The following is a 16,509-nucleotide window of genomic DNA, read 5'->3' on the forward strand; positions in this document are numbered from 1 at the left end:
ACCATAAAACTGCATCTGCAAATGAGTAGATTGGCTTCAAATCTGAAAACCAGGACAAGAGAGTCATCAGCGCAGATGTCAACTTCCCCAGCAGAAATGTTGGAGTTTTTAACTGTGGAAAACTACAGTTTTTCCACACCAGTGCATAGTGGAGAAGACATGTTTTTGTTTTTCTTTTTAAGTGTGCCAAATTTTCCTGGAGTCCCCTCCAATTTTTTTCTTTCTCTCTCTCTCTCTCTTTTTTTTTTTTTGTCCCCTGCCCCTAGGTCTCTGTCTCCACACAGTGATTTCTGTTATGGCGATTGGGCGGCTGCAGAGACCAGGACTCAGTTCCCCTGCCCTAGTCTGAGCCTAGTGGGTGGGACTCAGCTCAGAGTCAGTTTTCCAGAAGCAGGTTTCAGTGCAGAGTTTTCCTACACTTTTCCTGCGCTAGAGCAGCGAGCAGCCTGGAACAGACCCAGGCGGAGGACACCTGTGGGGGAGGGAGCGCCTGGAGGAGCTTAGAGACCCCAGCCGGGCGTGATCTCACCATGGTGCGTTTTGGCTGCTACTTTCTTTTTCAGTCTTTCGGTGCGGAGAAGGGGAGGAGGCGGGCAGAGGTCTGAAAAAATCGAATGCCTTATGGAAAGGAACTGCAAGGGTTCCTTTGGGGTGATCAAAGAGGGAGACACAGACACAGAGAGACAAAGGCAAGGAGGACTGTCTGGGAGCCACGCGGGCGATACAGTTTCCGAGGCACGCCGCGTCCCGCCTAGCCTGTTGAACAGGTAGACATGAGCGACCCAAGCGTAAGTGCCGCTGCCGCGAGTGCCCAGGGTGCACTCGCGCGGGGACCGACAGGTGCCACTGCAGGGTCCCCTCTCCCGCTCACTGCCTGCCACCCCTGACGCCTGCTCTCTTTCTCCATTCGCAGTGCGGATTTGCGAGGCGCGCCCTGGAGCTGCTAGAGATCCGGAAGCACAGCCCCGAGGTGTGCGAAGCCACCAAGTAAGTGGTCGCTGCATCCCCACGCGGGTCGGGGTTCTTCAGACAGGCGGTCCCTCTTCCGGGACCCCCGCTTGGGCTGGGTCTCCTTCCTCTCCTGAGAAACCTTCGGTACGCTCCCAGTTGCCCAGCCCTGGGAAGCCAGCATCGGGTTCCCACGCTGGGGAGGAGCGAGAGGAAAGGAGAGGACGCCCGAGGGGCCGGCCCAGGGCCCGGGGGACCCGCGGCGCCCGAGGGAGGAGCACAGACGGGGGTGGGCGCCGAGCAGCGCCGCGCCGGCTGCTGAGCTCGCGGGGCCGGGCCGTGAGAACGCGCGGGGCGCGCCGGGGCCGCTGGTCTCCCACGGCCAGGGCGCCTGGGCCCCAGAGCCCATCAGCCGCGTGCAGCGCTGCGGCCTCCGGCGCGCCGGCAGGCAAGCGAGCGGGCGCAGCTGGGGGATGCCTGGACCCCGGAGGCAGCAGGGCTGGAGGCGGTGGCGGGCTTCAGGGCAACTTCACCCGGCCGGCTGCGGCGTGGGTAAGAGGCGCGTCCTCCTCCACAGCAAAAGCTGCGATCGCTGGGCTGCCCAGAGAAGGCAGCCGGCTAACTGCCCAGCGGCTCCACGAGGTGTGCGCGTGTGTGCGAGAGAGACAAATGATTTACTGCTTAGCAGTCCCATTTCTGTTTTCGTTAGGACTGCGGCTCTTGGAGAAAGCGTGAGCAGGGGGCCACCGCGGTCTCCGCGCCTGTCTGCACCCTGTCGCCTGAGCTGCCTGACAGTGACAATGGTGTGAGGGGCTGCGTTGCAATGTGGTCATGTGATTTCAGGCTATGGATTTCGTGCGTCTTTCTCTGCTCACTGATTTTCACATGGTTATTCTTTCATTTTGCACTCGATAAACAGTTTACATCTTCTGAAGTAAGCCAGAAGATTGTATGGCTCACTTAACGATGACTGGTTGAAGGCATCTTGATTTGGAACCTATGGAAACAGTGCTGAGTTTTAAATAGGACAGATTTTTTTTTCTTTCATTTGAACTTCATTTATAACATATCAATAGTGATGTTTTAGGATCAGTTCTCCTATGGTAATTTCACTAAATGCCTATTTAATGAATTGATTTGATTTCATACATCTCTACCACTTACTAGAACTGTCTTTGTACAAACGTCAAACTTTCCTGTTACATATGGGTAAGCATAGAAGCACTTGATATAATTTTTTTTTATCTTGGTTCAGAGTGTAGAAGTGGTCTGTTGCTTTTCCTAAAATTGCTATACATATTTTTTCTTTAAGAGTGATCATTTCAGGTACCCTATTATGTACAGTGGTAAAAAGTAAACTCGTTATGATAGCAACGACGATGTAACCAAAATAAGCAACACTTAATTGGTCTGAAAGTTATACATATAAGCTTTATTATTGCTTCAGTGGAAGTTGTCTATGCATTCTGTGCTTTGTTCAGCCATTAAACAACTGGGTCCGTGATCTTCTTCAAGGGGCCGTGAAGTCCCTAAAATTGTATTTAAACATTAGAGTGGCTGCATTTTAAGGGAGATAGTACATAGTCAAATATCCAAAATGGACCTGTGTCCTAATAGAAAATTAAGAACCACGGGGTAAAAACACGTAAGCCATACTTTTTCTTATCAAAACAACAGGCTGTCTACATACAGCCTGCAGACATAGGCTAGAAGGAAAATTCTAGAACAATTAAATGGTGTTACCGTAGTTAAATATTTCACATAAAATAGACCAGATGTATGTATTTTAATGTATTAGGAAACAGGTCTGTGAACGTATTTAGTAGAAATTTGTAATTAATAGATGGGTACCTTATATTTATATTTATAAGGTATATTTATACTTTATATTGTAAGATCTCTTTCTATTATACGACAGAAAATAAAAATTATATTTTTGTCTTTGAAATCCAATCAAAATATAAAGTACTTATGCTTGGTATAGTGTCTCATAGTGTATGAAATATAAATAGCCCCTTAAAGGTCTTGCTTCTAGATATTCAGGTATTAAATAACATGATTAAAATCGTTTTCTGTCATTCGGAGAATGAGGAAGGAAATATAAAATTATTTTATTTATTTATGGCAATACCAAAAACAAAAGTGTGAAAAACTTCACAATGCTTAGTACTTATAACTCTTATAATTATGTCTTATTAAGGGATCTTTCTTAAGACATTTTGAAAAGCTATTTTAATATTTCACTACAAACAAGTGATAATATTAAAATTAAAGTATATCTATTACAAATACATCAGTAAAATATTTTGTGACCGAATTTTAAGAATTTTGTTATATTTTTCAAATGAAATTGAAAAAAATTAAATGTTTATCTAACATCACTTTTATTGACACATTGATATTGCATAACTTTGAATTTTTTCAGAAACTATACAAGGGAAATTAAATCCTGCATTTACATTTGCTAGCAACTAATGAGTGTGGACTGAGGATAATATTTCTTGCTTTACAGGTTAGTTTAAAATAACACGATCTGCACCCCCATAATTTCTAATTAACCTTTTTTCAGAACTAAATAAACATCAAATTAGCCATCAGAATGAATCTCTACAAGTAAGGGGAAATGGAAAGGTAAAGCAACATTTCAGTAATACAAGCCAAAAAGTATGTGCATTAATGGGAAAAATTTTTGGAGGAAGCTGTTACTGAGAATGACTTTTTCTGTCAGATTCACTAAGAAGTTGCTTGGCTTTTATTTGTGAGAATATTCCATTTTGAAGGCACTATTTTTACACTGGTTAATTAAAAATATTTACCCAAGCCACTTTTCTTAAACATTTCTATTTATTACTTTTCTGCACATTTGTAAAAACAAATTTTTTCCCCAAAGTATTAATAATTAAAAATATGTTTGTCTCTTGACCATCTACATTCATTCTGCAATAGTTTGTTTTGGGTGTCTACATCTTGACTTGATATAAGAAGAGCTTTTGTCAATGTTTAGTTACTAGTTGATTTACTTTGGGTGAAGTAATTTCCTGGCTATCCTGAATCATATCTGCTTCTTTTATTTTCTTTCAGAACATTTTGAAATGTCTTACCTATTATATATGTAATTTTTCTTCTTCCCTGGGTTCATGCCAATAGGCTTCATCTTCCTATAGCCTCGAAGGCTTACAGAGGATGAACAGAGTTATTTTGGAGGGGTGAAAGAAGAGCTGTAGAGTGGGCTTCCCTCTCAGCCCACAGTAGGAGAGAATGGCTACATCTTAAAACTTGAGGGACTCTGGAGCAGGCTCTTCCTTGCCACAAGAATGTGCCTCACAGCCTGTAGTTTCTAACTTCTGGTATGCTTTCTGGCCATTAAACAATATTTCATTAAAACAAATCCTCCATTTTAAAAATTGAGGCCAAGTCAAATTAATTAACTCACATACCAAGTCATCTATCTCACCATACTAAGAATTAGCAGGAAGTCGACACGAGACAATGGCTTTGAGAGTGAACACCTTCTTAGGGGGGAAGCAAATGGGGCAGACCCATTTCTTAATCCTGACCTTTTTTTCTAGGTCCAGCCTATCTATTTATCCCCTTTTGCTATGTCACATGACATTGAAAGTACCTGTTTAAATGTCTGCATCTCCCATTAAACTCAAATCTCCTTCACGGTATCCAATGTTGGATCCATAGTGCTTGGTGCATAGTAGGTGTCTAAAGAGCTTAACATTGTTGTCATTGTTATTCTTGAATTAAGGCTTGTTTATGCTTTGATGCTACCACATGGAGCTATGGTCTTGGTGACAGAGACCCTTGTGTGCTCTTCCGTCATATAGTTTGTGGCCTCTTCAGAATTGCTTGTAAACTGTTATTTATTTCACCAACAATTTTAACTCTGCTCCAACCCTTAAATCTCTTGCCACTAGACCTACCAGAACCTGCCTTCCCAATGTCAGCTTCACTTTTAATGTTTGCTTTACCTTCCTTGCTGTTGATTTAGCTGGACAAAGAGAGACATAACTGTATCTTGTAGCCAACTACCAATTGCTTCACTCCAATGTCAGCTTGGAGGATACTTTGTGCAGCTATTTTATTCTTTTTTAGTTAATGTCATATCAAATTCTCCATGGTACATATTCTGGATTTTTCCAGGTTTTCTAGTCTGCCCAGATTATCTCCAGACTCTTCATTCTTAGCAGAGGACCATACTTTTTAATTCACAGAGGATGTTAAGGTCAGTTTGGGCAAATTATTTGTCAACACTCATCTTGAATACAGTAAGCATTTCTTTGACCAGCTGTGAGCATAAGAACTCTTTTCTTATATTCAGCTATCGAATTTGTCTCTATAATATTTATATCTTTAATTTTTTACCTCTTAGAGTATTTATAGAAAATGCTTTTACATCTAACAACTCTTAATAGTGTCTAAGATAATATTCAGTTTCTTCAACCCATGCTTATTTACCATGGGTTGAGAGTCTCATTGTTACCAGGGCTTTTCTCTTTTGGATGCACTTCTGTTTTTATTAAAGTGTGATCCCCAGAGTTTAACATAGAGGACTGTCCTCTGATATATTTATCTTCTCTGGATATCATGTAGTAAATCAACCTGAAATCTATTCTACTCTTCCCCCCTCCGTTTTTTTTTTGCACTCATACAACACTGTTTAATTATGTATCTTTTTTGCACATTCTTCTGCAAATACACTTATTTTCCCCATCGAATTTTATGTTTGGCCACTTGATTTGGGACTTTTACAAATACTTACTGCAATTAAATTTAATCATTACCTTTAGTTAGCCTGTTGTTCCAGAAAGTCAAGGTCATCTTGGATTCTGAGTCCTTGATACAGAATAGCCATTTTCACCAATTTAGAGGAATTAACAGATTTGATCAGGATATAATTAACATCTTCATCCAAGTAACTATCTACAATGCTGAACTGGAACTACCTTTGGCATATTCCTAGACACCGTCCTTTACGTTAGACTCCTGCTTTACATTAGTCCATAAATTATTCCTCTTTATAAGGCTGTTCAACCAGTTATATAGTCAAATAACTCTCTTTGAAGTTGACATTCCTTTGTGTGACTTAAGAGAGTATACTGAGACAGACTTGGTCAAATTCCTCCCTGAAATGAGTCTCCACTTTCTGCAGAATAGATGTCAAGTAACTGCTATTAAAAACAAAAGGAGATAACTAGGTTAGTTGACAAGGATAGGTTCCTGTGACCTCTCCTTATCTTGTAGATAACAGCACTTCACATTTTGAATGCTTGCATGCCATGTTTTTAATCATCTCTTTGGAATAGTACCTGCAATTAATGTCCAGCTCTCTAAATTATAGCTGATGGAATCCACCTTCCCAATTTTGAAAATTGAGGCAATGGTTGGACTCTGTCAACACTTCTCTTCATCACAATATTTTTAAAGATGACTTTAACAATTCCTTTATTTTATCCACACATGCTTTCAATATTTTGTAGTGTAATTTCTCCAAATTAATGGATTTAAACTCATTTAGAATATTTGCTATCATTCTACATGCTGGACCTTTGTTATTTTTAGTTTTGTTCTACTTTTATAAGTATGGATATTGTTTTCTTAAGGAATGGATATGAAACAAAACAAGAGCAGAGTAGTTCTGCCTGTTTGTTCATGTACTGTGATTTGAATATCTTTATCCAGTGTGCTCTTCCTATATCTAATAAAAATGCCATTATCACCACTTTATCTGGCAATCATAGCAAGAATTAAAAGGACATTTTTTCTTTTTTTTATAAGCTTCAACTTATTTTATGTCTTATATTTTATAACACTCTTCTTAGAGACTCAGCCACTATTTTGTACTTCTCTCAATAAAGTTTATTATGGATTATGCTTGTCACTGAGGAAGATACAAAGCAAAGTTTATGACACACACTCCTTGACTTGAAGGAATTTAAAGTCTGCATGAACAAAACCAAGAAATAGTCTCAGAATTATACATGTCAGCACTTAACAATGAGCATAATATTTGTAGAATAGTTTTAATAAGTTTTAAAGAAGTTAGGAGAAGGAAGAGAGTTCGGTATGATGGAAATATTGAGTAAGGCTTTCCAGAGGAAATCTAAGACTTAGCTGAGGTTTTAAAACAAGATCAGGATGTTGGACATCACAGGACCTGTAGGATTTAAATGTGGCAAACAGTAGGAAGAGTATTCTAGACAGAGGAAAGGAAAGGATTCACTGCAGGGATCAGATGTGTGTGTGGGTGTGCATGTGTGTGTTTGATGTGTGTGTGTGTACCCTGTGTGTGGCGGAACGGGTAATGCTGAGCCTTCCCAGGCCATAGCTTTGAAGTATTTATTTGTGGAGAACACCACTTTTCCATTTCTAGCTTTTCGTTTCCCCTTGTTCAATCTTTGTGGGGCCCACACCTACACATCTTGTAGATCTCAAACTAAGCTCTGCTTCTTAAAACCTTTCCCTGAACTTCCAAGCCTAAATTGCATGCCTTATTATGTTTTCCTGTAACACATTGTGCTTCCTTTGTAGAATTATTATGATATGAATAATTACTTGCTGAATTTTTACTATTATACTGATACTTGTGGAGAGAGGTACCATTTCTGTTTAGTTCCCCATTTTATACACAGTCATCTAATACAAGTGCTCAATGGCTCATAAGCACTCAGTGAAAACGTGTGCTATGGCCGGGCGTGGTGGCTCACGCCTGTAATCCCAGCACTTTGGGAGGCCGAGGCGGGTAGATCACAAGGTCAGGAGTTCAAGACCAGCCTGGCCAAGACAGTGAAACTCCGTCTCTACTAAAAATACAAAAAATTAGCCGGGCATGGTGGTGGGTGCCTGTAATCCCAGCTATTCGGGAGGCTGACGCAGAGAATTGCTTGAACCCAGGAGGTGGAGTTTGCAGTGAGCCAAGATTGCGCCACTGCACTCCAGCCTGGGCGACAGAGCGAGACTCCATCTAAAAAAAAAAAAGAAAGAAAGAAAGAAACAAAGAAACAAAGAAAACATGTGCTATCATGAGCCTACTTGGAACAGTGAAGTTATGTGGAGAGTACTTGTAAAAAAAAAATGTTTAAAATAAAGAAGGGTTAGATTACAAGTCCAGCATCTTCGTTCTTTATATGCTTATTCTAACAGATTTTTTCTATTTTTAAAATTTATTTCTTTTTACATCTTAAGCTTTTTTATTAAAAATAAAGACAAAAACACACACCTTAGCATGGACCTACACAAGGTCAGGATCTTCAGTTTCACTGTCTTCCACTGCCACATTTCTCACTGGAAGATCTTTAGGGACAATAACAAGCATGGAACAGTCCTCGCCTATGAATACAATGCCTTCTTCTGGAATACCTTCTGATGAAACTGCCTGAGGCTGTTTTACGGTTAACTTATTTTTATAAGTAAAACTAGTACCCTCTAAAATAACAATAAAAGGCATAATATAGTAAATACATAAACCAATAAAATAGTACTTTATTATCACTATCGAGTTTTATATACCGTAGGTAATTGTATGTACTATGCTTTTTATATGACTGGCAGCACAGTAGGTTTGCCTGCACGAACATCTCCACGAGCATTTCAGTTATGCATTGTGCTATGACATTACAATGGCTATCAGTCACTAAGGAATGGGAATTTTTCAGCCCCATTATAAACATATGGGAACATGATTGTGTATGTGGTCCATAGCTGACAGAAACATTGTTATTTGGCACGTGACAGTATATGCACTGGAATTTTTAGCTGCTTATTTTTCTCCATTTGCAATATCACTTTGCAGCTTCAAATATGCTCATTATAAGCAGTTAAATGATATGTGGTTTTTATTACATTATTAAGTTAATAAAATAAGTGACAAGGAGTTTCAGTATTCCATAGTATAACATAAACTTTTAAATTGTGTATTTGTGAGCATAAAGTTATATCAAGATCTTTAGCACTATATATGAAGTATTTAGAGAGTTACAAATGTAGCATTGAAGGAAATTTGGGTAAATGCAATAAAATTGTCAGTACATGAGTTGTAAAGCAAGATATCCATATATTAGATTAGCACTATACATTTGTAAATATGATTAGCAAAAGGCAGGCTTCCCAGCGAAAACAAACGTCTTTGGGTAAAATTCTATTTCTTTTAATGTTTTAAAATATTTGTAGTCACTAATTGTAAGTCATATTCCTCTTTGTCCAGCTCTATCCCAAATAACAATTTAATACACCGCAGCATCTATTTCTGCTTATTTTCTGTGTCACTGGCTCAGAATAATTCATAAGCCCTTGTTGTTTCATCTTATGCTAACAAAAATCCAGCAGTGGTATGTAGGAGAGCTGTGATATGCCCTGATAAGAGTTTATACTTTGGAGAACAAATTATCCTAATTAAAGTCACTGCTTTTCTTCTCTTCTCTCTCTCCTCCTCTTTGAAGCTGTGAGAGTTTATCTTAACCTAGACTGGTTACCACCTATGGCTTTATGGCTTGCCTGCTGGCTTGGCTGAGAGCAAGAAAGTTGTATATGAGGGATATCACAAGGCCACCTTCCACAAAAATTGCTCTCCCACTTGGTCCTGTCCTAAGGCCTAAATCTCCTTTGGGTTGATGCAATCTTTTGGAGTGTCTCCTGGAGTCAATAAGATGCCTGTTTTACCGTGAAGAGCAGCACAATGAAGAGGTTGCCCAATAGCAGTGGTTACTTTTATTATGTTGTCTTTCTGCCTTCAATCAAGAGCATGACACTTGGACATAGCTTTTTAAAGTAAAGAGAAAAAGGAAACTGAAAGGCTCAGTATGTGGGACATAGATAAGAAAATGAGACCTAAATAGGGTGTATTGGGCAACAATACAGGGCTTAAATAGAAAGAGGAAGACCAAAAGAAAGCAAAGAATGTCCTAAGAAGAGCTGGTTTTTTTTTTTTTTTTTTTAACAATTTTGTTGCCTATTAGTTTTCTTCATTCCTGGGGATGGTTGGGACATTTTTCCACATCGGCATGTTATGGCCTTGATTATCTACCTAAATCAAACCAGAGGAAAATCATTTTAGTTTATTTTTATCTTAACATTGGATCTGTTTCAGCGCGTCCTGGAAATTAGTAGTTGCATGTTGTCACCGTCTATTTTGTACACAGTGAAAAGGTATTTGGCTGTGTTTCTATTTACATTCACTGTCCTTGATAAATACTAATTGGCCAGTGATTGTAAGTCTCAAGAATTTTTGCTGCAGAGCGTGTGTTAAAACTCATTTTAAGTGGTGTAGGAGTCATGCAGTGTTTATCACTTAAGTGGGTAATCTGACAGCTGTATTTTACTGCCTGACTGCAGCTTTATTCTTGATCATTCTCTTCCTTGAGTAGTGTGTTATGGTCATGTTGTCTTAGCTGCAATTAATTCCCAACCTTTTTTTGTTTTCCAGTCTTTGTCTTTTGCATTTATTTTTCTGCTCCTGCAATGCCTTACTTTGCTGTCTCTGCCTCGCTATTTCCTATTTATTCTACAAAGCTCACCTTAAGTGTCACGTTTTCAGGGACATGTTTACCAATGTACTGTACAGGGGCACATGCAGATTCTTCATGTCCCCATCACAACCTGTCATGACATCACACTGAACTGAGTTTGTGTGGTCTAAGTCTGTCCGCCCCAACCTTTACTCAAAACGTTCCTTAAGGAACTAGGATTGGATTGTTTTTATTTCTTTGTTTTTGTTTTTAATCCCTGAAATTTCGTCCTTTAGAATGTAGTAATAGGTACCTAATAAATATTTTTGGCATATGTGAATGAATGAGTGAGTGAATAAATAATCAGATTAGTTGATGAAAGATTCTAAGGGAAGATTAGGTAATGTGATTATAAGAGAAAGATCCTGAAGAATGCTTGGGAATGGATCCTTTACTCATACATGATTTTGTTCATCAGCTTATATGTAGGATCACAGTCATTTGGAAAATATTGGTCCATTGAAATTTATACATTTTCCAAATGGTGACACACTTCATTATACAGTGTCAAAAGTTAGCCTTCATGACTATCACCACTGATCTCATCAGGAAGTTTTAAGTATTGGATAGCTATAAGCTCACAATGGCAGTCCTAGATAGTGCAGCCGTGGATTGAAAAAGTGTTCTAGTTTCCTCTTTTTAAGCCAAGAATCCATCCTTAAATATAAGAAGAAAATCAGGCCGGGCACCGTGGCTCACACTTGTAATCCCAGCACTTTGGGAGGCCAAGGTGGGCAGATCACCTGAGGTCAGGAGTTCGAGACCAGCCTGGTCAAACATGGTGAAACCCCATCTCTATGAAAAATACAAAAATTAGCCGGGCATGGTGGTGGGTGCCTGTAATCCCAGCTACTTTGGAAACTGAGGCAGGAGAACTGTTTGAACCTGGGAGGCGGAGGTTGCAGTGAGCCAAGTTCGTGCCACTGTACTCCAGCCTGACTGACAGAGCGAGATTCCATTTCAAAAATATATATATATGTATATATATGAAAAAATCAATAGACTTGGTCTTAGAATAAATATTAAAATCTAAAATAATAAGTTTATATAAAAAATTAGCAAAGTGGAATTACTTCTTATGTTTACATTTAAGACCAAGAAAAACTTCAAGATTTCAAAATAATAAATTATTAGACAATAATGAAATTACAAACATTATAACAAGTATACTGATAGTTAGGAAAAATAATAGAGTTCTGAGAACAAACTGCGTTAATCTCCAAAAATGTACACTTATACTTTAAACCTACTAATTTAGAAAATTCTACACAAATATAAATTCCATTAGAATGATTACATCATCACATGTCATGTAGTCTCTGGAGAACTCTGCTGCAATCTGTGAGAGAATGAGAATGAAAAAGGTGCATAATATTAGAATATTGTTATGAAAATAGTTCTGACCATGCATATCCTCTGAAAAGGTCTCAGGACATCCCCAAGAGTTTGCAAACCACATTTCGAGAAATGCTGCTTTAACTCAAATGTGTCTTGAACAAGGTAAACATAAAGGTTTTTACAATAATTTTATATCAAGTCCAGTTTATAATAGTGAACATTTCTTAGGTACATTTTACATTCCAAGCATTAATACAACTGCATTACTTTAATCAAATCCCTTGAGGAATGTTCTATTCTCATCACTGTTCTACAGATGAAAAAATGGATGATGCACAGAGTAGATAAGTCACTTGCCTAATGTCATACATTTAATTAATAATGGAACCGGTATTTGTAGCCAGGGAGGGTTCACACTTTTACTTACTATGGTAATTACTATGGTAACCTTTCTGCCCACATTGCAAGTTTTCCTGATGATTTGTGAATTACCCAAGTTTTGCTTATAAACAATAGCATTTGTTGAATGTCTAGCATTTTAAGAAACTGCCAAACTGTTTTCCATTCCCACCAGTAATCTGTGAGATTTCCAGTTATTCCACATTGCCAATAACTCTTGACATTGCTGAACTCTAGAATTTTAGCCATTCTAATGGGTTTTTGTTTAATAACTAATAATATTGAGCATATGAAGAAATGTTTATGACTGTTTATATACCTTCTTTAATGATTGTCTATTCAGATGTTTTGCCCATTTTAAAATGGAATTGTTTATTTTCTTACTGAGTTGGAAAACTGTATATTCTGAATTAAACTCCCTTGCTGTTGTGTGTTACATATATTTTCTTCTAGTATATGACTTGTGTTTTTGTTTATGTAATAATGTCTTTTGAAGAGCCAAAGTATTTTTTTTATTTTGATGAAGTCCACTTTATCATGCTCTTTTTAAATATTTCATGTTTTTTTTTTCAAATTTAAGCATCTTTGCTTCAAACCTGGTCACAAAGAATTTCTTTTATGTTTTCTTCTGTAAGTTTTATAGTTGTAACTTTCGTACTTAGGTTTACGATTTGTCGTAGTCTGTTTATTTTGCTATAAAAGAATACCCGAAGTTGGATAATTTATTTACAAAAGAGGTTTATTTGGCTCAATGTTCTGCAGGCTGTGCAGGAAGCATGGCACCAGCATTTGCTTCTAGTGAGAGCATGAGGCTGCTTCCACTCATGGCAGAAGGTGAAGGGGAGCCAGCGTGTGCAGAGATTACTGAGAGAGAGAGGAAGCGAGGGAGAGAGAGAGGAGACACCAGGCTTTTGTGTAACAGCCAGCTCTTGAAGGAACTAGTAGAGCAAGAACTCACTGGCTATCGTGAGAACGGTGCCAAGTCATTCATGAGGGATCTGCCCAATGACTCAAACATCTCCCATTTCACTCCACATTCAACACTGAAGATTAGATTTCAACATAAAGTTTGGAAGGTTCGAATATCCAAACCATGGCATGGTCCATTAAGATTTAATTTTTGTATATGGTATGATGTGTGGATAAAAGTTTATTTCTATTTCTATATGGATTTCCAGTTGTTCCAATGGCATTTTTATTAAAAAACAAACAAACATATTTTCTTTCCTGATTTTATTGCCTTGACACCTTTGTTGTAAACACAATTGTGGATCTCTATCTCATTGATCTCTTTGTCACCCCTTTCAAACTGATACCTCACTTTCTTGATTACTTTAACTTTTTAAGTTTTGAAGCAGGTATATAAGTCCTTCAGTGCTATTTTTTCTTCTTTAATATTAATTTGGCTATCCTATGTCATCAATGAAATCTTAGCCTCATTTTGTCAATTTTTACTAAAATGATGGCTGAGATGTTGATTGGAATTGCATTGAATCTATAAACCAGTTTAGAGAAAATTTGTACCTTAACAATATTATACATGGTATATATCTCTCCATATATTTAGACCTTCCTTAATTTATCTCGTGAATGTTCGTAGTTTTCAGTGTAAAAGTCTTGTAAGCCTTTGGTTAGATTTATTGCTAAGTATTTATTAACAGTATCATAAATGAGTTTTTAAAATAATTATTTTCCAGTATTTGTGGCTAGTACAGAAGTTATAATGGAATTTTGTATATCAGTCTTGTATCCTGAAACATTGCTTAATTTACTTCTTAGTTCTAGTTATTTTGTATATCCACTGGGAATTCCTACATGAACAATTTTAAGTATATGTGTGTGTGTGTGTGTGTGTGTGCACATGCATGTGTATGATCCTTGAACAACACAGGGGTTGGGGCACTGACACTCCTGCACAGTCAACAATCCACATAAAAGTTTTGACTCCTCAAAAACTTAACTACTAATAGCTTACTGGTGACTGGAAGCTTTACCGATAACATAAACAGTTGATTGACATGTATTATATACTGTATTCTTAAAATAAAGTAAGCTAGAGAAAAGAAAATGTTACAAAGAAAATCATAAAGGAAGAGAAAATATATTTACCATTTATTAAGTGCAAGTGGGTCATTATAAAAAATCTTCACCCTCGTTGTCTTCATTTTGAGCAGGAGGAGGAAGAAGAAGATAAGGGGTTGGTTTTGCTACATCTGGGATGGCAGAGGCAGAAGAAAATTTGCATATGAGTGGACCCATGGAGTTTGAATCTGTGTTGTTCAAGGGTCGATTGGATACACACACACACACACACACACACATGCACACACACACACACATGCACACACACACACACGTGCACATAAACCTGCAACCTTTTGGCCTTTTGTTTAACTGATTGCAATGGCTAGGACCTAACTTCTGTACAATATTGATTAGAAGTGGTGAGAGCAGGCATCTTTGCTTGGTCCTGAATAATAGTGGAAAAGTGTTCAGTCTTTCATCATCAAGTATGACTCAATAATTATAGTTTTCATAGATGCTTTCTGATGGGTTAAAAAAATTATGATTGCAGAGCTTGTCTCACTTGTTCTCATTATTAGTGTTGGAGTGGGAGTCTCTTGTGACTTTCTGCAATTTAACCAGAAGTCAAAGACCCTGTACTTTGAGCTAACTTTTGTGCTCTGTATAGTAAGTATTTCTATTTACAGAAAGCTACAAATATAGGTAACAAAAGAAAAGGATTTCATATCCTCACAATCCTTCTTTCAAACTTGCTGTTTCCCAATCCACAGATCTTAATGTAATCTGTACTCAGTTACAGTGTAGTACTTTATCACTATAACTCCTTATTTTCTTCCACTTTCAGTCTACTATTCTTATTCAAAATTTTGCCTTAAAAGCCATAAACATCTTTCTAATTTAAAAATCAAATGATATTTTCTCAGTCCTCCTTACCCTCTTCAGACTTGTGACATACACTTCTTTTCGAACACGTGTCCTCTTTCATATTCATTCTCATTGTACTTTTCTAATTGCTGCTTCTCTGTCATAGTCATAATACTTTCTCCAGTCCTTAAACATGAGGATTCCCTGGAGTTCTAAATTTGGTTATCTTCTCTCTATATATGTAGCCTCTTGATCTTAAACAGTTTTAGTTAAACTCCTGACTATAATGGTTTCTGCTATGGGGAGGAGCACAAATTCATCTCTAATCTGTTACACATTTCTGAAGTAAATACTCCGATTTTCAAAAGCACCTCCACCCTAGATTCCCTGCTACCTCAGTTCAAGATCCATGTATCTAAAACAAATTCAACATCCTTTCTCTCAGGCCTACTGCTCTGTTTCTGTTACCTGTTTCCATGAACGGTGCTATATCTTTCTACACAAAACTTCAGAGTCATTCTATTCCTCAGATCTAGTGAGTTGCCACATCATGCCAACTTTAATTTTATAATATCTCTAGTAGCCATCTTTTCCTGCCTCTTTCCCACAATTTCCTTCATTTCTTGCTTTCACTTACACTGTTCTTTCTCTGTGGCGTGCCCCTTGCCAAAATCTTAATTTTCAGAACTTAGTCATTTAAAAAAATAAGCTCAAATTCTGTACATTCCAAGAAGGCTTCCCTGATGATTCTTTTGCCACCACCGCCTAAATCTGATATTTCTTATAAACAGTTTTAACTCTCTATCTTTACTTATTCTCCCTTTTTATTGTAGCCATTAGCTATTTAATAAAATTTCTTATATATACATAAGAAAATTCGACTGGGCACGGTGGCTCATGCCTGTAATTCCAGCACTTTGGGAGGCTGAGCGGGGCGGATCACGAGGTTAGGAGTTCGAGCCTGACCAACATGGTGAAACCCTGTCTCTACTAAAAATACAAAAGCATTAGCTGGGCGTGGTGGTGTGTGCCTGTAATCCCAACTACACAGGAGGCTGAGGCCGGAGAATCGCTTGAAACCGGGAGGTGGAGGTTGCAGTGAGCCGAGATCATGCCACTGCACTCCAGCCTGGGCAATAGAGTGAGACTCCATCTCAAAAGAAAAAAAAAGAAAAGAAAATTCAGTGTGTGTGTGTGTGTGTGTGTGTGTGTGTATATACCCCACTCATATCAGGCTTTGAAGAAAATTAAAGAAAGGAATATTTTTTGTCCTTTTATGAAACAGTAAATTTTGATTGAATTATAAATGGATCTACTGACAACTCATTTTAAAATGTATTTCCAATAAGCAAGACATTTTAGAAACTCTGATTTAGCTTTCTTTTATTTGTATTTTATGTTTTTTCTGGTTCATGTTTTGCCCCCT

General features: G+C 38.0%; 1 protein-coding gene across 25 annotated transcripts in view; it reads left to right on the top strand.

Moving 5' to 3' along the window:
• Positions 416-16,509, top strand: part of GUCY1A1 (guanylate cyclase 1 soluble subunit alpha 1) — a 70,212-nt gene continuing 54,118 nt past the window's right edge. For 6 of the 25 annotated variants that reach the window (NM_001130682.3, NM_001379676.1, NM_001440518.1 and 3 more), the window contains exons 1-2: positions 416-533; positions 914-987. Coding sequence is in view for 1 of the 25 variants with exons in the window: in XM_047450147.1 (XP_047306103.1) it covers positions 1,422-1,590 (169 nt within the window). In the remaining 24 variants the exon portion in view is untranslated. Of the gene's footprint in view, positions 789-905; positions 988-1,229; positions 1,591-1,657; positions 2,158-3,373; positions 3,461-16,509 lie in introns of those variants that run through there. The other 19 variants (NM_001130683.4, XM_005262957.4, NM_001379667.1 and 16 more) reach the window with 12 other exon arrangements.

This window comes from Homo sapiens, chromosome 4 (genome assembly GCF_000001405.40).
Source record: "Homo sapiens chromosome 4, GRCh38.p14 Primary Assembly".
Taxonomy (NCBI): Eukaryota; Metazoa; Chordata; class Mammalia; order Primates; family Hominidae; genus Homo; species Homo sapiens.